This window comes from Homo sapiens, chromosome 1 (genome assembly GCF_000001405.40).
Source record: "Homo sapiens chromosome 1, GRCh38.p14 Primary Assembly".
NCBI lineage: Eukaryota > Metazoa > Chordata > Mammalia > Primates > Hominidae > Homo > Homo sapiens.
Window position 1 is genome coordinate 32,333,839 of NC_000001.11, and position 19,444 is coordinate 32,353,282.

Consider the following 19,444-nt stretch of genomic DNA (forward strand, 5'->3'; position numbering starts at 1 on the left):
TAAAGGGACGACATTTATTCCTTTTCCAAATGTTACAGTAAAACCAGGTGGAAGAGAATGGTTTTAGCAGTTAGAAAAAAAAAAAAAGTACAAATCTGGGGTTTGGCCATTAAAAGTTATTTACAACAGTGGGAGAAAAAAAGACAAGAAGTTGTTTCACATTACAGACCTCCCCCCACCCCAAAGCCTAATACTTGCTTACCAAGTCAAAAAAGAGACACAGTTGATTCACAGGCTGGAGGTTTGAACTTGAGTAAGACATTTATAAAAACCTAGACGGGGCAGTGTCCTCCCCAGCCCAGGTGCCACTAGGCACAGCACAAGAGACTAAAAACAACAGGGGAAGGCTGGACACTCAAGGTTTGGGAGTATAAGCACCCCACTTCTGGCTCAGGGATTTGGGGAGTAGGGTAAACAAAACCTACTTGGAAAAGAATTGGGGAAGAAAACCAACAACTGCCTTATGCAGGGGTGGGGACAGGGAAGGAGGTAGGGCCAGGGACAGGAGCATTTCACATCACTAACCTAACTTGGGAAGCTGTAAGGGACCATCTTCAACTGGCCTTAAGAGGAGAACCAGATGGCTGATGGGAGAATCCACAGGAGGGAGAGGAGGAAAGGGAACGTGGCTGGGAGGAGGCAATAGCCCCTTCCTTTCTGGGCACAGGAAGGCAGCCAGGGCACCAGGTCCAGGCAGTGACCTCACAAGGACAGCACAGTTTTTGCAGCTTAGAGATCACCCACCTGCCCCTACCTAGCTACTCATTCTGCTCAGCGCTGGCTGGTGTAGGGCCACTCTCCGGCCCCGAGGGAGTGGATGGCTCTGTAGCCTGGGGCCCTGCCTCTTCTTCTGAGGCTGCACTAGCCTCTGCCCCCTTGGCCTGGGGTTCCTGGCTCTCAGGGGTGGCTGCGGCCTTCCCTTCCTGAGCAGTGCCCTCGTCGCTGCAGGCACCGATCTCCCCCTGCTCCTGCTCTTCCTCTGTGGGTGAGGAGGCAGAAGAATCACCCCCACCCTCCTTCCGATTTCTCTTGAAGGACAGGCCGCTCAATTTGAAAGGCTTCTTGAAAGAGAATTTCTTCTTCTTCTTGGGGGTCTCCTTGGGGGGGACCTCCCCCTTGGCCTCAGCACCCTGGCTAGGGGGTGCTGGCTCGATGGCATCGCCAGTGGCCCCGGCTGCCTCATCTGTTCCGTTCACAGGGGGCGACTCCCCTTCACCCTTGGGGGATAAGTCTCCATTGCTTTTCACGTGGCCATTCTCCTGCAGGGCAGAGGGAATAGCAATGAGGGCAGGGGCTCCCCCTCCCCCAGCCCGCTTCTGATCCCTTCTAGAGGAAGGGGTCCTCGATTCGATTCTACTGCAACCCGAAAGTCTGGCTTCAGCCTCACCCACACCCAGGATCCCGTCAAACACCTCCCTCTCGCCCCTCACGGGCGCGCGGGGAGCGAGCGCGCAGAGGGCGCGACCGGCAGGAGGCGCTGGGGTCCCGTGGCCCCCACCCCCGTCCCCCGGGGCGCGCTCTCTATTCCGCGCGGAACCGCTCCGGATCTGCTGTGCGGATCCCGGGCAGGCGGGCGAGCCGCTCTAGGCGACATTGGGCGGGAAGCCGCCCCGGGGCGCTGTCTCTCTGCACCTGGACGGCCTATTTTCCCAGCCTCCCGCTTTGTGTAAGTGGCCCCCACCCACCCCAGGCTCTCCCGCATCTCGGCTCCCCCTTAAAAAAAAAAAGACCGTGGGCCACCGAGGTCGGGTCGGCGGGTGGAGTGCGCTCCCCGCCGGGCCCCAGCTCCGCGGCCCCTGGGCGCCCCCTTGGCGTGGCCCAGCAGCGCCTTTGTTCCCCGCGCGGCACTCGGGGCGGCCGGGGGGCAGCGCCGGGGACCGGGGCCGCGAACAAAGAAGGCGGCAGGGCCCGGCCGGCGCCCCCTCCCCGCCCCTCCCCTCGCTTCGCCCGCGGGGGCTGCGGCGCCGAGAACAAAGGGACCGGGCGGGGGAGGGGGCGCCGCGTGTCCCGGGCCGGACAAAGCGCGCGGCCCCGGCCCCGGCCCCGGGCCCTAGAAGGGGCGAGGTGCGAGAGGAGGGGCTGGGGCCGGCCGGGCCAAGCGTACCCACCTGGCCGTTGGCCTTCGCGGGGGAAGCGCCTGCTGCCTCCTCGGCGGTCACGTCGCCCCGGGGAGCCTTGGAGCTCTGGCTGCCCATGATGGGGGTCTGCTGGGGGGCGCTTGGAGCCGCCCCGGGCTCGCGCCGCAGGGGATAGTACGGCGGGGTCGGCCCGGCCGGCGGAGGGGTGGGGCTGGCGCCCGAGGGGGAGGGGTGCCGGGGGAAGCCGAGCTGCACCTCCGCTCCGCGGCCGACCCGCTAGCTGCGCCCGCCGCCGCTCCGCTCCGCGCCAGAATGCCGCCCGCCGCCCGCCGAGCTGCCTATATATAAGCGCCCGGAGCTCGGGGCGGGGCCGGACATTTAAATGCGCGCCCAATCGAGGGGCGGAGGCGGGGTTGGCTCGCAGGCCCCACTTGCGCAGCAGGCGACGCTGGCGGTCGGGTACCCCCCACCCCACCCGAATCCCAGGGGCAGGTAGAGTCCGGTGTGGGCAGGAGCGAGGCCAGTCCTCCCGCGAGCTGGGCGGGGCGGGGCGGGGGGCCTGGAGGAAGGAGACGGGCAGTCATTCCATCCTCTCCGCTCCACCTCTCCGGTGGGCGCCCCCGCAGCCTGGAGCGGCCCCCAACGCCTTGGTCCTGCAGCCGCTGGCAGTCTCCCGCTTGAACCCTTCGAAGGGCTCACACGACCAGGCTCGTCAGATGGCTGGTCCTGAATTATACTCTAGAAATGTGGTCATAGAAGCTGCAGGGCCCCTGCGCTGGGCTCGGCACCCGCTCCGGCCTGGAGAGCGGTCAGAGGTCCCACCCACGTCCCTGCCTGCCTGCCATGGCCAGCCGGGGAGCGGAGGGCTCTGCCTTGCCTCGGGGTCACTCTGGTCGGACTAGTGAGGCCTTTCCCTCATTCCTCCTTTCAGTCCCTTGGTGGCCAGTCATTCTGAGTGGGGACAGACAGATTCGCCTTGAGCCCCTCCTGCCCTCAGCCTGGACCCACTGCAAAGTCCCACGTGGGGGACTTTGTGACCTTGAAGGGCATCTCCATCCCCATTGAAAGGCCAAGGCTCAGAGGCATTGACAACCTGTCTGACTTGGCTCTGGTCCTTCCTCTTTACCTCCACACACAACTCTGCTCCCCTACATCAGGGTGCCCCAGGCCGGCAGAGGAACCCCAGCTGGGGACTCAACAAACCTCAAAACACCCCAGTTTCTGAAGGGGAGGGATAGGATGCTACCAAGGGTCCCTTCAAGGGACAGCCCCTTGAGGACAGCCCTCAAAGCTGCCCAGCCCAGCTTCCCACCCTGCCTGAGAGCAAGGGAGCCCGGAGGTGCTCCGGGCTGGAGACTCCCTAGCTTTGGTCCTCTGCCACCTCTCCTTCTGCTGGCCTGGATAGGCTGGTGGGAACCCCAGAATCCTGGCCGGCCCCGGATGTCTGTGTCCGGCTGCCAGCCCTCAGCCCCCAGGAGGAAAGGGATGGGGGCTGGAAGGAAGCAAAGTGTTGCAAATGCAAGGCTGTGTCCCAGCCAGCTCAGCAAGTCCCTCCCCTCCCTCCTACGGTGAAGCCTCCTGGGAGGCCTGAGGCTGTGAAGTGTGGAGACACCCCAGGGCCTGAGAAATTGGGAACTCCCCAGAGATCTGACCACAGAGGGGCGGGGAGGGCTGAGGTGGCTTCTGCATTCTGCACTCACTCCTGTATCCTCCATCCCCACCCCCACCCTGAGACTACAGAATACCCTCAGCTATCTCAGCTTCACTTGCCCCCCACCCCCGCCCCATTTCACAGACTGGGACCCTGAGGTTCAGGAAGAGAAAGTGACATGCCCAAGGGCACACAGCAGCTACCAGTAGCTGAGGGTGAGAAAAGGCTTGGAGAGGTTTGATAACATGGGCCAAGGGCTGTAAGGAATCCCCTGGCAGAATTTTCTGTTGAGATCTGGGGCTGCCTGGTCAGAGTGGGAGGCAAGGGCTAGCTTTGGGACGGGGAGAGGCACTGTGCCCCCACTGCAGCTCACTGAAAGTACCGTGACTTCTCCACAGCTTGCCACTAAGGGAAGGATGTCATGACCTGCTCTCTGTCTCAGCCACAATAGGGAACCCACAATGCTGCCAGGCGCTGCCCGCACCAGCTGGCTGGGCTCAGAGGGACGGAGGGTGTGTGAGTCTTGCACGGGTTGGGGTCAGAGGTTAAGAGCAGAACCTAAGGCTTCTGATCCCCAGGCACTGCCTGGCGGGGATGAGAGGCAAATCTTCCCAAGGATCCCAGGAGGGGCATCGAAGAGCATCAGGGTAAAAGACCCCAAGTCCCCAGAGCCCCAGAGGGAGCCTGGTCCCCAGGGGATGCCCTGTATCCCCACCAGACATCCCAGGAGGCTGGGGAGGGGGCGCCTGGGAGCCTGATCCCTCAGCAAATCCAGGTCCCAGCAGAATCTGACTTCTGGAAGAGGCAAGAGGTTTAGGATGCTTCAGGGTGGGGGTGGGAGGTTACAGCAGCCCCATGGCCTCCTCGGTCCACACTGCAGCTCCTTCCTCCCCAGCTGCTGCCAACCCAGACAATGCGCCCATTGTTCTGCGTCTCCGGGAGCCAGTGTGCAACTGCGTGTATCTGTTTCTCTCTGTGTGTGACTGTGTGTATTGCTCTGTGTCTGTGTGTGTGAGACTTTCTGGCTGTGTGTGTGTGTGCGCGTGTGCCCAGGTGTGCACATTTGTGGTTGCGTGCGTCTGGATCTTTGTTTGGCCCTGTATATTCAAGGGTGAAGGAGAGAGCCTGGTGATCCTGGTAACTGAGACTTGCTGGGTTTGTGCCTGCCCTTCCTTGAGACTGTTGGTGACTGTGTCTGACTGGGTGTGAAACTGAGTGTGTGGCTGTATGAGAGAATATCGATGGGCCGGGCGTGGTGGCTTCTCGCCTGTCATCCCGGTGCTTTGGGAGGCTGGGGCGGGAAGACTGCTTAAGCCCAGAGTTCGGGAATATCTGAATGTGTGGAGCAAAGAGCGGCTCCTTTATGTCTGGGTGAGTGTTCCTGTGGCGGTGGGGAGCTGTGTGTGCCTCAGTGTGTCACTGAGGCTGTGGCTGTGGTGGTTAGAACCTTTGAGATGTGGGCGTTTGCCAGGATGGAGTGACAGGGAAAGGAGGAATGAGGACAGGGTGACGCTGGGATGGATGGGGGAATGGAAGGTGCAGAGACCAGAGACCCCACGTTCATACAACTCCTCATCTGTCCCAGTTCTCCTAGTAAGGGCTCTGGCCCTGGCCCTGGCCTGAGATGCTCCCGGCCCCACCATGAATCAGGCACGGACAGCAGGGGATGAATTTCCCTGGCAGGCAACCTGGGGCCTCTGGAGAGACGCAGGGCAGGGGTGAAGATGGGAGGGGGCAGCAGAAACCAATGCCCCATGAAGGAGGTTGGGGGATACTTTAAGGTCTGTCAGGCCCCGGAGCCTTGTGTTGAGGACTGGATTAGATGCCAGGGGAGGTGTGAATGGGCAATATGTAGTCAGAGATGGAGGCATGGGCCTTCCTAGCGGAGGGACTGGCATATGTAAAGGCCTTGAGATGGGAAGACACATCATCAGAGGTCCCAACGGAGGCCCTAGGGAACAGCTACTTGGCACAGCCCCAGTCCCCATCTCCTTCTGGGGAGCATCAGCTGGACCTGGAGACCTCGGTTCTTGCCCCAGGTTGGGCACTTCTTGCTGTCACCATCAGCCAGTCCTCTCTCCTCTTTGGCCTCAGTTGGCTCATCTGTACAGTGAGAGGTTGGGCTCTGTGATTCATAGTTGCAGATACTGACTGGAGTTCCTCTTTCTGCTCACACTTAGACGTCTAAGAGTAAGTAGTGAGTCAGGCAGGGTCCCAGCCCTCAGGGGTTTCCCATGACGGGAGGGAGAAAAGAGACAGGCCATATCTTAGGGAGAAGAAAGCCAGACCTAGCATTAGATGAAGGAACTGTGGGCTGCCTGGAGGAAGAAGAACATGGAGAAGAGCTCAGAGCAAGACAAAGTGGGAACAGGAATGGTAGGTGTGAGGGTGCAGAGGGAGGCAGAGGCCTTTGCTGGAGCAAGGTTTGGGAGGTGGGATCTCTAGGATTTGGTAACTGGCTGCGTGCAGGGACCAGATACTGATGCTGCCCACCTTTCTGTTTGGGGTGACAGTGGGTGAAGTGGACCTGTCAACTGAGATAGGCCATCAAAGGGAAAAAGAACATGGGAGGGAGTTGCTGAATCTAGCCCTGTTGCGTTTGCGATGTCCAAGGAAGATTCAGGGGGATGCGCAGAAGGCAGCCTGAAGTCTGTATACTTCACATAGACATGTGATCACATTTCCTGAGCCAAAGGCTGTTCCTAAAGGCTGGCTAGTGACTTTACAGGGACAACAGACAGAAGGTTTTTAAGTCAGGACTGACCCCTGGAAATCTAGGCCTCTGATTGTTGCCAATAAGAGGGTAACGGCAGCCAAGTCGTGCATCAGACGCCCAGGAGATGCCTGGGTGGCAGGAGCACTGCATTGGTGGGCAGCAGCAGGAGAGGGCTCTGGGAAGAAGCCAGCAGCTGACTAGGGGCAGGAGAAAGCACAGAGTGCAGACCAATGGGAAGAATCTTTAAAAGGCAGAAAGGGGGCAGGGCGCATCCCAGCACTTTGGGAGGCCGAGGTGGGCAGGTTGCTTGAGGCCAGGAGTTTGAGACCAGCCTGCCCAACACGGTGAAATCCCACCTCTATCAAAAAATACAAAAATTAGCTGAGTGTGGTGGCGCATGCCTGTAGTCCTAGCTACTCGGGAGGCTGAGGCTGGAGAATCGCTTGAAACCGGGAGGCAGAGGTTGCAGTGAGCAGAGATTGCACCATTGCACTCTAGCCTGGGTGACAGAATGAGAATCTGTCTTAAAAAAGAAAAATAGGCAAAAGGCAGGAATAGGGGCAGGGTGCGGTGGCTCACACCTGTAATTCCAGCACTTTGGGAGGCTGAGGCAGAAGGATTGCTTGAGCCCAGAAGTCTTAAGACTAGCCTGGCTTGTAACATAGCAAGGCCCCATCTCTACAAAAAATAAGATAGGCCGGGTACAGTGGCTTATGTCTGTAATCCCAGCACTTTGGGAGGCCGAGGCAGGCAGATCACTTGAGGGCAGGAGTTCAAGACCAGCCATGGCCAACATGGTAAATCCCCATCTCTACTAAAAATACAAAAATTAGCCGGGTGTGGTGGTGTGTGCCTGTAGTCCCAGCTACTTGGGAGGCTAGGGGATGGCGGGGTGGTTGGGGTTGCAGTGAGCCGAGGTTGCACCACTGCACTCCAGTGTGGGCAACAGAGTGAGACTGTCTCAAAAATAAGTAAATAAATAAATAAATAAATAAATGTTTTTAAAGGCAGGAAGAACAGAGAGTAATCACCGTCATTGCTGCCGGCGTTGGTTGCGTGCCTGTTGTATGGCAAGCCTTGTGCCGCCTGCTTTCCATATGTTCCCTCTGGCCCTGTGAGATGTGTACCACCATTGTCCCCATTTCCAGAGGAGGAAACAAGGCCAGGACTGGGGGAAGGTGGCTTTCAAGAGCTCTGAGGCGTGTGTGGTGCTAGGGTCAGCTGGAGGCATCCAGAGAGGGTTGTGAGCTCAGGATGAGAGGAGCTGCCAGAGGTGCTGGCAAGGAGAGCTGAGGCAGCTGCAGGGCCTGCCCCAGGGGCTGGACACTGCAGAACCAGAGCTATTCTCATTCGCCTGGGCTCTCTGGCTCCCGGCTTGGTTGTCAGCAAGACCCAGGTGTGCTGCGTCCCTGCCAGTGACAGGCCTTGAGCCCTGCTCTGGATACGGGGGCACCTCAGGGGCCCTTCACTGGGACCTGCCATCCAGACAGTGACCAAATCATAAGGACAGGGGTTCGAAAGTTCCCTTTCAGAATTCTAGGCCACCCAGACCTTTCATTTCTCCCTTCCCCTCCCCCTTCCCCTGGTTGTGTGTGTGTATGCACTTGTGCACAGGTGCACACGCATGTGTATGTGTGGTGGTTGCATAGACTGGATGAGGCCCAGCCACTATCTGATAGAGCTGTCTCTCTGGGGCTCAGTTTCCCCAATAGCAAAGAAGCCTGTAATTCCAGCTCACCTGCTGACCTCCCCCAGGCTTGATGAGGTCACCAGAAATTCAACCCAGTTTATCTGGGCTGCCCGGAGCTTACCCTCTCCCACTTCTCACCTCTTCCTGACTTTCAGTTTCTTTACAGATCCTGGGTACCTTTGGGAAAGGAGTGGCCAAACCAGTGGAATGCGGGTTGCTTACAACTTTCCAACCAAAATCCCCACTTAGGGGAAGTCCCTTCAAAAGAGAAACTGGGCCGGGCATGGTGGCTCATGCTTGTAATCCCAGCATTTTGGGAGGCTGAGGCAGGCGGATCACCTGAGGTCAGGAGCTTGAGACCAGCCTGGCCAACATGGTGAAACCTCGTCTCTGCTAAAAATACAAAATTAGCTGGGCATAGTGGCGTGTTCCTGTAATCCCAGCTACTCGGGAGGCTAAGGCAGGAGAATTGCTTGAACCCGGGAGGCGGAGGCTGCAGTGAGCCAAGATCGCTCCATTGCACTCCAGCCTGGGTGACAAGAGCAAAACTCTGTCTCAAAACAACAACAACAAAAAGAGAAACTGAAACTCCCTCCTAGCTAGTCCCCAATCCCACCCCTTTCTACATCACTCCAACCCCACCCCACCACCTCTCCTATTCCGCCTCTTCCCCCAGATGATCCGAGCCCACGCTACTGCTGCCTTCCAGCTTTGCAGCCCTAGACAGGTCCCTTCCCCTTGCTAGCCCCACTCGCCCACTCTAAAATGAAGACACTGGGAACCCCTTCAGGTGGTTGTGAGGATTGGGTGAGGTGTCGTTGTGTTGAGGTGGTGTTCGTGGTGAAGAGGTGGCTCCATCACCACTGTGTGACTTCAGGGCCTCTCTGAGTGAGCCTCAGTATCCTCATCTATAAAATGGGAATGATAATAGTACTCATTCTGTGGGGTTATTGCGAAATAAATGAGTTGGAAGCATCAAGGAAAGCCCTTAAAACAGAGCATCCTGGCTGGGCGCGGTCGCTCACGCCTGTAATCCCAGCACCTTGGGAGGCCGAGGCAGACAGATCACCTGAAGTCAAGAGACCGAGACCATCCTGTCCAACATGGTGAAACCCCATCTCTACTAAAAATACAAAAATTAGCTGGGCGTGGTGGCGTATACCTGTAATCCCAGCTACTTCGGAGGCTGAGGCAGGAGAATCGCTTGAACCCGGAAGGCAGAGGTTGCAGTCAGCTGAGATCACGCCACTGTACTCCAGCCTGGTGACAGAGGGAGATTCTGTCTCAAAAAACAAAACAAAACATACAGACACACACACACACACACACACACACACACACACACACACACCAAAAAACCCGTGCATTTGAGGTGCAGACCACACTGGAGGATTTCAATAATGTTCCTCAGGGCTGTTACATAAAATTCCGGGGCAGGTGCCAGACACAAACTTGGTGCTCAACAGTTTCCCATTCTTGTCCTCTCTCTCTCTCCTCTCTTTCTGCCCTGGGGAGGGGAGCTGGGAGCCTAGGATTGCCCTGAGTCAGCCCTGTGGCCCCTTCATCATCTTTCGTCTGGGGCAGGTAGTGAAGGCACTGACTGGGCTGTTCCAAGGATGGGAATTGTTCAGGGGGGAATTTATTTGGCTTCAATAAATTTCCTTATTTCCTTCCTTCTCTTCTTCTCTTTTTCTTTCTTTCTTTTTCTTTTCTTTCTTTTTTTGTTTTTGTTTTTTTTTTTTAACAGGGTCTTGCTCTGTCACCCAGGCTGGAGTGCAATGGTGCATTCATAGCTCATTGCAGCCTCGACCTCCCTGGGCTCAGGTGATCCTCTCACTTCAGCCTCCCAAGTAGCTGGGACTACAGGTGCACACCATCATGGCCAGCTTTTTTTTTTTTTTTTTTCCACAGAGACAATGTCTCGCCATGTTGCCCAAGCTGGCCTTAGAACTCCTGGACTTAAGTGATCCTCCCACTTCGGCCTCCCAAAGTGTTGGGATTACAGGCGTGAGCCACTGGCCTCAATTAATTTCTTATATGAGAAAGGAATGTGCCTCTTCCTCAGAATCCTGAAGATTCTCTCCCTTTCCTCTTGCAACCCATAAGTGTCCTCCTGGGACCTTTTAGTGCCTTTTTCCAGAAAAATATACTCTGGAGTGGCCCCCCACCCGCACCCAAACACATACTTCATCTTTCTGTCCCCTCCCAGCCCCTCCTTAAATTCTCCTTCTCTTTTTTTTTTTTTTTTTTTTTTTTTTTGAGACAGAGTCTCGCTCTGTCGCCCAGGCTGGAGTGCAATGGCGTGATCTCAGCTCACTGCAACCTCCGCCTCCCGGGTTCAAGTGATTCTCCAGCCTCAGCTTCCCAAGTAGCTGGGATTACAGGTGCCTGCCACCACGCTCAGCTAATTTTTGTATTTTTAGTAGAGACAGGGTTTCACCATGCTGGCCTGGCTGGTCTCGAACTCCTGACCTCAGGCTATCTGCCTGCTTCAGCCTCCCAAAGTGCTGGGATTACAGGCATGAGCCACTGCACCAGGCCTAAATTCCCCTTCTCTTCTGCTTGTTCAGAGAGGTCTCATATCCCTAGCGACCCTTCCCTAGTGCCTCACCTCTCACCACTGTTGCATTGGGGAATACACATACTTTTGGGGGGACACATTCAAGCCATAGCACTCCAGTTGGCCTGCTGAGCTTCAACTCGACTGGCTTCTCAGTTCCTCTGAGTGCTGAGCTCCGTCCTGCCTCAGGGCCTTTGAACATGCTGTTTCCTCTGCCCAGCATTCCTCTCTACTTGCTAAATTTCTACTCTTCTCTTTTTTTTTTTTTTTTTTTTGAGACGGAGTCTCACTCTGTCGCCCAGGCTAGAGTGCAGTGGCACAATCTCGGCTCACTGCAACCTCCACCTCCCGAGTTCAAGCAATTCTCCTGCCTCAACCTCCCGAGTAGCTGGGATTACAGGTGCCCACCACTATGCCCAGCTAATTTTTGTATTTTTAGTAGAGATGGGGTTTCACCATGTTGGCCAGGCTGGTCTCAAACTGCTGACCTCAAATGATCTGCCCGCCTCGGCCTCCCAAAGTGCTGGGATTACAGGGGTGAACCACTGCGCCCGGCCTACTCTTCTTTTAAAACCCAGATCAAGCCACTCCCGAGGAGCTTTCCAGAGTCCCCAGGAGGAAGGACTGGCTCTTCCCACCATAGACTCCATCGCTCTGAGCTTTGGGCTCGGCACCTCTCACACCTTACTTACCTCCTCCACTGCCCAAGCCAGGAACCTGGACTGATCTCAGCTCATTGCTCCTCTCCATGCCTCGCCCTGTGGAAGACCCTTCATTCACCTGGGCTGGGTTACGTCATCAGCTTCTCACTGACCTCTCTGCCAACCAGTTCTGCCCCTCCAGACATTCTCCACTGTCTCAGGGTCACTTTCTAATAGAGGGTGCTCAGCAGCTATTTGTTGACAGACAAAGTAAACGAGGGGAGGAATGAACAAAGGCGTGACAGAAGTGTAAAAACAAATGTGCTCCCCTTGGATTTTAACCTTTCAGTGGCTCCCTATTGCTCTCAGGACCAAGCCCGAGCCTTACATTTAAGGTATTTGCTATCGGAGCCCCACAACACACTCTGGGCTTCTGGCCAAGCCATAACCTTGCTCTCCTTCCTGCCTTTGCACAGGCAGTCCCCTCTGCCTGGCTGTCTTTCCCTGCTGTTGCAGTAATCGAGGTCAGAGATGATGGGGCCTGAACTCAAGTGGAAGGGAGAGTTGGCCAGCACCCACGTGTCTTGAGCTCATGGTTCTCCCTGCTCTCAGTGCCGGGGCTTAAGAGGGTAGCCTTGGAGTTGAAGTTCCAGGTGCCTGTTAGAATCCCCATGGAGCCATCAGGCTGGCAGTTAATACCTGAAGCTCCATCTCCAGGTAATAGTTCAGGGGTGATCCCAAATTTGAAGCCAAAGGGCTCAACGGGATCCACTAGAGAGAAAGAGTGGCTCAAGAAGGGAAGGCAGAGCCAGGCTTGGTGCGGTGGCTCATGCCTGTAATCCCAGCACTTTGGGAGGCTGAGGCGGGAGGATTGCTTGAGCCCAGGAGTTCGAGACCAGCCTGGGCAATGTAGTGAGACCCCCCATCTCTAAAAGAAAAAAAAAAAAGAAGGCAGAAGACATTTAGACTCCCATCAGGGGATCAGCTGATGGCCAGTGAGCCAGGAGCAGGGGTGTCCTCAAGGCTGGGGGAAGAAACAGCTTCCGGAAGGAGTGAGTGATCCACCATGTTAAATGCCACTGAAAGGCAGAGGAAAGGAGAGGGAAGGAGCACGGGGGACGTTCAGGAGCAGCAGCCACAGGACTCAGGGAAGGACTCAACGTGGGAGTGGGGAGGTGGGAGGGCTGAGAGGGACCGAAGGTCTGGCTTGGGAAAATGGGCAGAAGGGCGTGTCAAGCACCACGGAGGAAGCTGGGGAAGAGCAGCGGTGTGTGCATAGAAAAAGAGGGGTCGGTTTGGTCCAGGCTAAACCAAGGTGGCTTTGGGATGTCATTAGATCTATGGCCTGGAGAGAAATCTGTGTTGGAGAGAAAAAATGAGACCATCGACCACCCCTCTGTCTGTCTTTTCTCTCTCCTATATCTATGAGCTCAGCTATATGCTACTCTGAAGTCTCTATCTCCAGCCTAGATCTTTGTCCAGAACTCCCGGTGACCTTGGAGGTCACCCTGGATGTCCCATAGGGACCTGTAAAACAGACAAACAGGCCCCAGTGGACACAGATCAGAGAGGACAGAGTTGGAGGCAGGAAACCCAGGGAAAAGTCAATGGACTCGTCCAGACAAAGGCAATGGTGGCCTGAACTAGGCGAGGGAACAGGGTAGAGGAGGAGAGGATGAAGTCTAGAGACATTCCTGGATCAGAGAGCCCCAGAGATGGGGACTAGGTTCTGCGCGAAGGGAGAGGGGCTGGAGGAGGGAGGGACATGGCTGCTGCTCCGGAGAGCTGGGTATGGGGCTGCCCTGAGCTGGCCTCATTTGAGGTGGAGCCCACCTGGCTGCCAGTCTCACCTGTTTCTTTGACTGAGAGCCCCGTAAAGGGCAGGGGATGGATCATAGGGTTTTTTTGTTTCTTTTGTTTTGTTTTGACAGAGTTTTGCTCTTGTTGCCCAGGCTGGATTGCAGTAGTGTGATCTCGGCTCACTGCAACCTCCGCCTCCTGGGTTCAAGTGATTCTGCCTCAGCCTCCCAAGTAGCTGGGATTACAGGTGCCCCACACCACTAATTTTTGTATTTTTAGTAAAGACAGGGTTTTGCCATATTGGCCAGACTGGTCTCAAACTCCTGACCTCAGGCGATCTGCCTGCCTCAGCCTCACAAAGTGCTGGGATTATAGGCGTCAGCCACAGTGCCTGGCCCATAGGGGGGTCTTATGTGGGTGAGGGAGGGGGGCTCCTGTTGAGCAGTGAGTGGATGAGTCAGGGCAGCTCTTTCCTCTAGCCATCAGCAACCTCTGCCAGACCTTTGCACGGAGGCTTGGGGGAAACCCATCAAGGCCACAGTCCTGGACAGGACCTGGGAGAGTGGGTAAGAGAGGGTGCAAGGACAGGTGCCTGAGGCCTCAGACCTAGCTGACAGCCAGGGACCAATCGCCAGACCGCACCCCTCCCCTGCTTTATTTATTTATTTATTTATTTATTATTTTTTGAGACAGAGTCTCGCTCTGTCGCCCAGGCTGGAATGCAGTGGCGTGATCTTGGCTCACTATAAGCTCCACCTCCTGGGTTCAAGTGGTTCTCCTGCCTCAGCCTCCCGAGTAGCTGGAATTACAGGTGCACGCCACCATGCCCAGCTATTTTGTATTTTTAGTAGAGACGGGGTTTCACTGTGTTGGCCAGGCTGGTCTCGAACTCCTTACCTCAAGAGATCCACCCACCTCGGCCTCTCAAAGTGCTGGGATTACAGGCGTGAGCCACCGCACCCAGCCCCTCCCCTGCTTTAAACCTGTTCATGACTCCCTGTTTCTGCCTGGATAACCCCTTGTACTGGCTTTCAAGGTCTTTGAAGCTATGCCCTGGCTGGCCTCATTTTAGGGAGAGCCCGCTTGGCTGCCAGTCTCACAAATCCCCAAACCTTTCTCCACGCTGTGCCCTCTGCCTGGAATATAGCTCCCTGGGCATGTGCACCCCAGTGCCCGCCCACCTGTCAAGAACCAGCTCCAGGGACCCCTCCAGAAGACTTTCCTGACCCACCAGATGACCCACTGTGCTCCAAACTAATGTCACCTTCCTGTGACACTGTACTCAGCTGGTGCATGTCTCCTCTTTCTGTGGCACTTTGAGAGTCAGGAGAGGAGGAACCAGGCCTTTTTCATCCATTATCCCCCCAAGGAGCTCATGGGTGGGGTGGGCATGGTGGGAAGGTCAAGAGGTGATGGCAGAATCTCTTCCAGCCCTGTAGGTTTGGTCAACTCAGTGTGTGTCAATGGGAAAAACCGAGATCATCCCCTCAAAGTAGAGATAGCCAGAGTGAGGCCACAGCGATTTTATTTGGAGAATGAAGGGCAGAACCACAGAGATCTCAGGAGGGAGGGCAAAGGTAACTCATCGTCATCCACAGAGAGGGGACTCAGGATTACGCTGTGCGTCCAGGCCATCTTCCCTCCCAGCCCAGCCTTGGCACAAGTCGGCCCCAGGATCATCATGTGATAGAGCCTGAAGCCTGTCTCCCCAAGTCCCTGGAAAGTAGACATCTGTGACAATCCTCCCGAATCCCAGGGCACAGGGAGCATGGCTGAGCACGCCAGACTGCCTGGGCTCAAATTCTGTCCTGCCATGAACTGCCTGGGTGTCTTTGGACAAGTCATTTGACAGCTCTGAGCCTCCGCCTTCTCATCTGAGGACAACAGGAATAATGAGGGTACCCACCTCATGGGGATGTGATGAGGCTTAAAGAAGAAAATGCATGCAAAGTTTTAGCACAGTACCTGGCAGTGAGTATATGTGCAATAATATTAATTATTACTATTTTATCAAGAGGCCTGGATTCTGGTCCCAGTTCTGCCACTGTTTTCCCTCCCTGGGCCTGCTTGAGTTTCTGTCTATAAAGTAGGTGTTAATTGATTAAATGAGATAATGGATGCCAAAGAAGCTTCTGAGATGAGTGATTATTTCTGCCCTTTGAAGTTCACTTCCCCGAGGCTGCAGGGTGTTGTCACCCCCACTCTGTCAGGTCTTTACTGGGCTCTCCGTCTAGGCCAGGACCCGTTGCTGAAGGGTCAGCCCATCTCCTCCCTTCTGCCCACAAGGCAGAATAAGAGGAAAAGGCTGGGGTTGCCTCAGCGGGGTCTGTGGTTAGACAGGACGAAGAACTTCCTTCCGGACTGCAGGATGCTGCCCTGGGAAGGAGCCAGAGGTCGTGGGACTGATGCTGTTGTGGGGAGGAGTTGCTTCCAGGGGAATGGCCAGGCCCAGCCAGTTAAGCCAGAGTTAGCCAGTGGGGTGAATCTGTTGGGCAGTGACCTCACTTCCAGAGACCCTGATGGGGCCCTGTTTAAACTGGCCCCAGGGCTCCCAGGATCACAGACTACAAACAAAAAAGACACAGAAACACTATTCTCCAGGCACAGAGAGCCAGAGGCAAGTGGTTACCAACAAGACTACACTGTTCCGTCCACCAAGAACACTCTTCCCAAGCTCTGGAAGCGGCTGACCATCCTTGCTAGCCTCGTTTAAGACTTGCCTCCTCAGAAGTGACCTCCCGACAACACATGCATTCTCTCAGCATTTACTGTGCCCCAGCTATGTGTTAGGCACTGTTCTAGACCTGTGAACAAGACCAAGTCCCGGCATGGCGTGGTGGCTCACGCCTGTAATCCCAGCACTTTGGGAGGCCAAGGCGGGCAGATCACAAGGTCAGGAGATCGAGACCATCCTGGCTAACATGGTGAAACCCCATCTCTACTAAAAATACAAAAAATTAGCCGGGCGTGGTGGCAGACTGAGGCAGGAGAATGGCGTGAACCCAGGAGGCGGAGCTTGCAGTGAGCCGAGATTGCGCCACTGCACTCCAGCCTGGGCGACAGAGCGAGACTCCGTCCCCCTGCCCCCTCAAGAAAAGACCAAGTCCCTGCCCATCCCATATCAAGTAGCACCTGACCCAGCCCTGTTCTTCTCAAACATAACACACTGTTTCTCTCTCCAGTTTATGGCCTGTCTCCCCACCAGAATGTATGTTCCATGAGGGCAGGGACCTCAACTGTTTGCTTCACCAGTGTAAACCCAGTGATTAACTCAGTGTATAAACCTGTCACAAATCACTAAAACATGCCCTTGATAAATAATTGTTTTGTTTTTGTTTTTTTTTGAGACAAGGTCTGCTGTATTGCCCAGGCTGGAGTGCAGTGGTGCGATCTTGGCTCACTGCAACCTCTGCCTCCTGGGCTCAAGTGATTCTCCCACCTAAGCCTCCTGAGTAGCTGGGACTACAGGTGCACGCCACCACGCCTAGCTAATTTTTCACATTTTTAGTAGAGATGGGGTTTCGCCATGTTGCCCAGGCTGGTCTAGAACTCCTGGCCTCAAGCAATCTGCCCCCCTAAGCCTCCCAAAGTGCTGGGATTACAGGCGTGAGCCACCACACCTGGCCAAGCCCTTGATAAATATTCGTTGACTAAATAGACACATAGATCAGAGATAGAACACACAGAAACAGAACCACACTCAGAGGTGGTACAGACTTTCAGAGATGCACCGAAATGTGAACACAGACACACAGGATGATCACCACGACAGGGCCCTTCAAACTGACCCCGAGCTTCCCTTCCCTTGGTCATTCAGCTTCGCCTCTAGGCCCAGGGCTGGAGTCACCTTTGCTCTGACCCAGTTGGTGCCCACCCGAGTGCACCACTTTCCTGGTCCCCGACTCCCTGCACTGGGCACAGAGCTGGTATTATGTTTGAGGAGTCCTATTTGGGGCTCCTCTACTTTTTTGGGGATGTCTCCTGACAAACAGAAATTTCAACATAGTCAAATTTGTCAATCTTTTTAAAAGTATGTTTGTGTCAGCCCAAGAAGAGCGGGGAAAAATAACCCTGCAAAGACCACGCCCTGCACTCGGGGCCCCTCTGACTGCGGCTCATCTGCACAGGGTCCTGGAGCCTCGCAGGCCGCGACTGCAGCAGGCCAACCTCGTGCTCGGGCCTCGCCCCTCCCCCACGCCTCTAGCTAGGCCCCGCCCAAGACCTGCCCCTCCGCGAGCCCCCGCCCACCTACAGCGCCCCCTGTGGCCACGCCCCTCACCGGCTCTCACGGGCGCAAGGGAACTAGATGTCGCTTCCTTTTGCCCAGAAAATAGTAGTTAATATTCTGCCACCGGTGCTTCCACCTGGAGGGAAGGGAAATCGGGAAGACGGGATTGGGGCAAGTGTCCCTTCCCTCCGGGTCTGCGCCCACTCCGCCTAGCCCCGCCCCTTCCTTCCGCTCCCGGTCGCCCTCAGACCCCGCCCTTCCCACCCAGTTCCGCCCCCTCCCCTCGCCCCCAGGCCCGGATCCTCGGCTCTGGATCCGCCCCTTCCTTAGACCTCGCCCCTTCGCATAGGCCCCGGTCACCCCGTCTACTCCCCGGGCCCTCGCCCCGCCCCTCCCGGCGCACTCACGTGAGTCTCGGGCGCGCGCCGTAGCAGCTGGGCCAGCGCGCCGAGGGTACGTCGGCCAGGCCGGTGGCCGGGGGCAGCAGTAACAGGTTGCGTGCGGGCCAGTGCCAGGCGGCACCCGGAGGGTGGCGGCGCTGCGGGCTCAGCCAGTAGTCGCCCAGGCTGCGGCGGGCGGCGGGCGCCGGCAAGACCGGGCCCCGGCTGCCCCAGAAACACAACTCCTGGTCCAGGCGGTGCGGGGCCGTGGCCTGGGGCCGCCTGCGGGGGAGATGGGACAGCGGTCACCCCAGGAGAACACGACAGGCGGGGAGGAGGAAGTTGCCTCCGATCGGACGAGGCAGGGCACGGGCCGGGGTCACTCCTGGTCGATTTAGAGGGACGTGGAAAGGGACTGGAGGCCCCCACTGGCGCCTTCCCAAGGACCTGAGTGCCTCCTCCCCCAGCTGCCAGACCAGGGCGCTTTATCCAGCTGGCGCCCTCCCTCGGGCCCCCTCACTGGGACAGAAGAAAATTCACCACGAAGTGAGCAGTCTCGGTGAATAGCATGGTGTCCAGCCGGTCTGGCCCGACTTCGGCCTCTCTTTAATACCTGCCTGGGCGAGGAGGGGGAGGCCTGAAAACCCATATTCCCCCCGGGCCCGGCTGTTTTTAGCAGAAGGCCAGGAGGCGTCAGCTGGCAGAGGGGTTGGGGGCAGAGCTGGTCTCTCTCGTGAGGTCTAGTCTAGTCTGCCCCCACTAGCCGCTTCAGTGGGAGGGGGCTGGTCACCAGATCTCCAGGTTCCCCAGAGACACTCCTCCCCAGGGTCAAGGACAGAAGTGCAAGGACAAACAGAGGCAGCAGGAGGGGGCCAGGGACAGGAAGGTCAGCTGCCCATTGGAGAAACCCTTCCTCATCCCACCCAGGGCTTCCAGCCCCTGCTCACACACTTTTTTTTTGAGACAGGATCTCACTTTGTCATCCAGGCTGGAGTGCAGTGGGGCGATCATAGCTCACTGCAGCCTCGACCTCCTAGGCTCTAACGATCCTCCTGCCTCAGCCCCCCAAGTAACTGGGACTATAGGCACTCACCACCAGACCTGGCTAATTTTTTGTATTTTTTTGTAGATACAGGGTTTCACTATGTAGCCAAGGCTAGTCTTGAATTCGTGAGCTCAAGTGAATCACCGGCCTTGGCCTCTCAAGTCTAGGATTACAGGTGAGCCACCATGCCCAACCTTTTTTTATTTTCTTTTTTCTTTTTTTTTTGAGACAGGGTCTCAACTCTGGCACCCAGGCTGGAGTGCAGTGGCACAATCACTGCTCACTGCATCCTCGACCTCCTAGGGCCCTAGCAGTCCTCCTACATTAGCTGGAGGATTGCTGGGATTGCAGCAGCTGGAACCACAGGCCTGCACCACCAAGTACAGCTAATTTTTGTGTGTGTGTGTGTGTGTGTGTGTTTGCTTTGTTTTGTAGAGACTTTTGCCATGTTGTCTAGGCTGGTCTCAAACTCCTGGGATCAAGCAATCTGCCCCCCTCCCAGTCAGCTTCCCAAAAGTGCTGGGATTACAGGCATGAGCCACCACTCCTGGCTGGCCTCCCACACTCCTGATGGTGTGCTCAGGCACAAATCACGCCTCAAAGGGCCTCCTCTTCTCCCAGGCTTAGGCACACCCTGACCTGCTCCCCATGGCTT

The 19,444-nt window shown here is 56.4% G+C and overlaps 1 protein-coding gene and 3 long non-coding RNA genes across 10 annotated transcripts in view, besides 11 other annotated features; 2 read left to right on the top strand and 2 right to left on the bottom strand.

Annotated features, from left to right (window-relative positions):
- On the bottom strand, nucleotides 1–2,395 carry MARCKSL1 (MARCKS like 1). Of its 2 annotated transcripts, none has more exons than NR_052852.2 (2): nucleotides 2,334–2,395; nucleotides 1–1,259 (listed from the first exon to the last, which is right to left on the bottom strand). NR_052852.2 is itself a non-coding variant. In NM_023009.7 (2 exons), exons 1-2 carry the CDS (start codon nucleotides 2,193–2,195, stop codon nucleotides 759–761), a joined length of 588 nt encoding a protein of 195 aa, NP_075385.1. In that variant the 5' UTR covers nucleotides 2,196–2,395; the 3' UTR covers nucleotides 1–758. The 2 variants fall into 2 exon arrangements, 1 of the variants encoding a protein (NP_075385.1); NM_023009.7 differs by having other exon boundaries at nucleotides 2,109–2,395.
- Nucleotides 1,217–1,656: a silencer, noted in NCBI's record as "silent region_592". NCBI's record gives its function as "represses an Ori minimal core promoter by ATAC-STARR-seq in GM12878 lymphoblastoid cells {active_cell/tissue: GM12878}" and the evidence as "EXISTENCE:reporter gene assay evidence [ECO:0000049][PMID:35858748]".
- LOC124903949 (uncharacterized) lies at nucleotides 1,539–15,261 on the top strand. Its single transcript, XR_007065661.1, has 2 exons — nucleotides 1,539–1,666; nucleotides 14,568–15,261. It is a non-coding gene; the product is annotated as an uncharacterized LOC124903949 (long non-coding RNA).
- Nucleotides 1,797–1,876: a silencer, noted in NCBI's record as "silent region_593". NCBI's record gives its function as "represses an Ori minimal core promoter by ATAC-STARR-seq in GM12878 lymphoblastoid cells {active_cell/tissue: GM12878}" and the evidence as "EXISTENCE:reporter gene assay evidence [ECO:0000049][PMID:35858748]".
- Nucleotides 2,007–2,156: a silencer, noted in NCBI's record as "silent region_594". NCBI's record gives its function as "represses an Ori minimal core promoter by ATAC-STARR-seq in GM12878 lymphoblastoid cells {active_cell/tissue: GM12878}" and the evidence as "EXISTENCE:reporter gene assay evidence [ECO:0000049][PMID:35858748]".
- Nucleotides 2,007–2,706: a biological region, named in NCBI's record as "H3K27ac-H3K4me1 hESC enhancer GRCh37_chr1:32801487-32802056".
- Nucleotides 2,048–2,617: an enhancer, noted in NCBI's record as "H3K27ac-H3K4me1 hESC enhancer chr1:32801487-32802056 (GRCh37/hg19 assembly coordinates)". NCBI's record gives its function as "activates a minimal SCP1, AML or CMV promoter by ChIP-STARR-seq in primed H9 embryonic stem cells {active_cell/tissue: H9 hESC(primed)}" and the evidence as "EXISTENCE:reporter gene assay evidence [ECO:0000049][PMID:30033119]".
- Nucleotides 2,177–2,706: a silencer, noted in NCBI's record as "silent region_595". NCBI's record gives its function as "represses an Ori minimal core promoter by ATAC-STARR-seq in GM12878 lymphoblastoid cells {active_cell/tissue: GM12878}" and the evidence as "EXISTENCE:reporter gene assay evidence [ECO:0000049][PMID:35858748]".
- Nucleotides 2,887–2,976: an enhancer, noted in NCBI's record as "active region_686". NCBI's record gives its function as "activates an Ori minimal core promoter by ATAC-STARR-seq in GM12878 lymphoblastoid cells {active_cell/tissue: GM12878}" and the evidence as "EXISTENCE:reporter gene assay evidence [ECO:0000049][PMID:35858748]".
- Nucleotides 3,640–3,768: a silencer, noted in NCBI's record as "fragment chr1:32803079-32803207 (GRCh37/hg19 assembly coordinates)". NCBI's record gives its function as "represses an EF-1alpha promoter that drives an FKBP-Casp9 reporter gene in an ReSE screen in HepG2 liver carcinoma cells {active_cell/tissue: HepG2}" and the evidence as "EXISTENCE:reporter gene assay evidence [ECO:0000049][PMID:32094911]".
- On the bottom strand, nucleotides 9,298–18,026 carry LOC105378629 (uncharacterized). 5 transcript variants are annotated; one of them, XR_947157.3, is made up of 3 exons: nucleotides 17,772–18,026; nucleotides 17,416–17,500; nucleotides 9,298–9,395 (listed from the first exon to the last, which is right to left on the bottom strand). It is a non-coding gene; the product is annotated as an uncharacterized LOC105378629 (long non-coding RNA). The 5 variants fall into 5 exon arrangements; XR_947156.3 differs by lacking the exon at nucleotides 17,772–18,026 and adding an exon at nucleotides 11,388–11,587 and having other exon boundaries at nucleotides 17,416–17,557; XR_007065654.1 differs by lacking the exon at nucleotides 9,298–9,395 and adding an exon at nucleotides 11,198–11,587.
- Nucleotides 15,350–15,644: a silencer, noted in NCBI's record as "tiled region #14076; K562 Repressive DNase unmatched - State 7:EnhWF". NCBI's record gives its function as "represses a minimal TATA promoter and a strong SV40 promoter by Sharpr-MPRA in K562 cells {active_cell/tissue: K562}" and the evidence as "EXISTENCE:reporter gene assay evidence [ECO:0000049][PMID:27701403]".
- Nucleotides 17,573–18,092: a silencer, noted in NCBI's record as "silent region_596". NCBI's record gives its function as "represses an Ori minimal core promoter by ATAC-STARR-seq in GM12878 lymphoblastoid cells {active_cell/tissue: GM12878}" and the evidence as "EXISTENCE:reporter gene assay evidence [ECO:0000049][PMID:35858748]".
- The window catches only part of LOC124903933 (uncharacterized), a 9,727-nt gene continuing 8,046 nt past the window's right edge, over nucleotides 17,764–19,444 (top strand). Inside the window, exons 1-2 of one of the 2 annotated variants that reach the window (XR_007065636.1) lie at nucleotides 17,764–18,290; nucleotides 18,874–18,964. This is a non-coding gene — a long non-coding RNA (uncharacterized LOC124903933). The remainder of the gene's footprint in view (nucleotides 18,291–18,873; nucleotides 18,965–19,444) is intronic. The other variant, XR_007065642.1, reaches the window with a different exon arrangement.
- Nucleotides 19,297–19,444: part of an enhancer, noted in NCBI's record as "H3K4me1 hESC enhancer chr1:32818736-32819250 (GRCh37/hg19 assembly coordinates)", that runs on past the window's edge. NCBI's record gives its function as "activates a minimal SCP1, AML or CMV promoter by ChIP-STARR-seq in naive H9 embryonic stem cells {active_cell/tissue: H9 hESC(naive)}" and the evidence as "EXISTENCE:reporter gene assay evidence [ECO:0000049][PMID:30033119]".

Excerpts from the sequence above, each read along its gene's own strand:
- MARCKSL1 (NM_023009.7), bottom strand. The coding sequence starts at position 2,195 with ATGGGCAGCCAGAGCTCCAAGGCTCCCCGGGGCGACGTGACCGCCGAG. Across the intron at positions 1,260-2,108 it reads CCGCGAAGGCCAACGGCCAG|GAGAATGGCCACGTGAAAAG; the intron begins GTGGGTACGCTT and ends TCTGCCCTGCAG.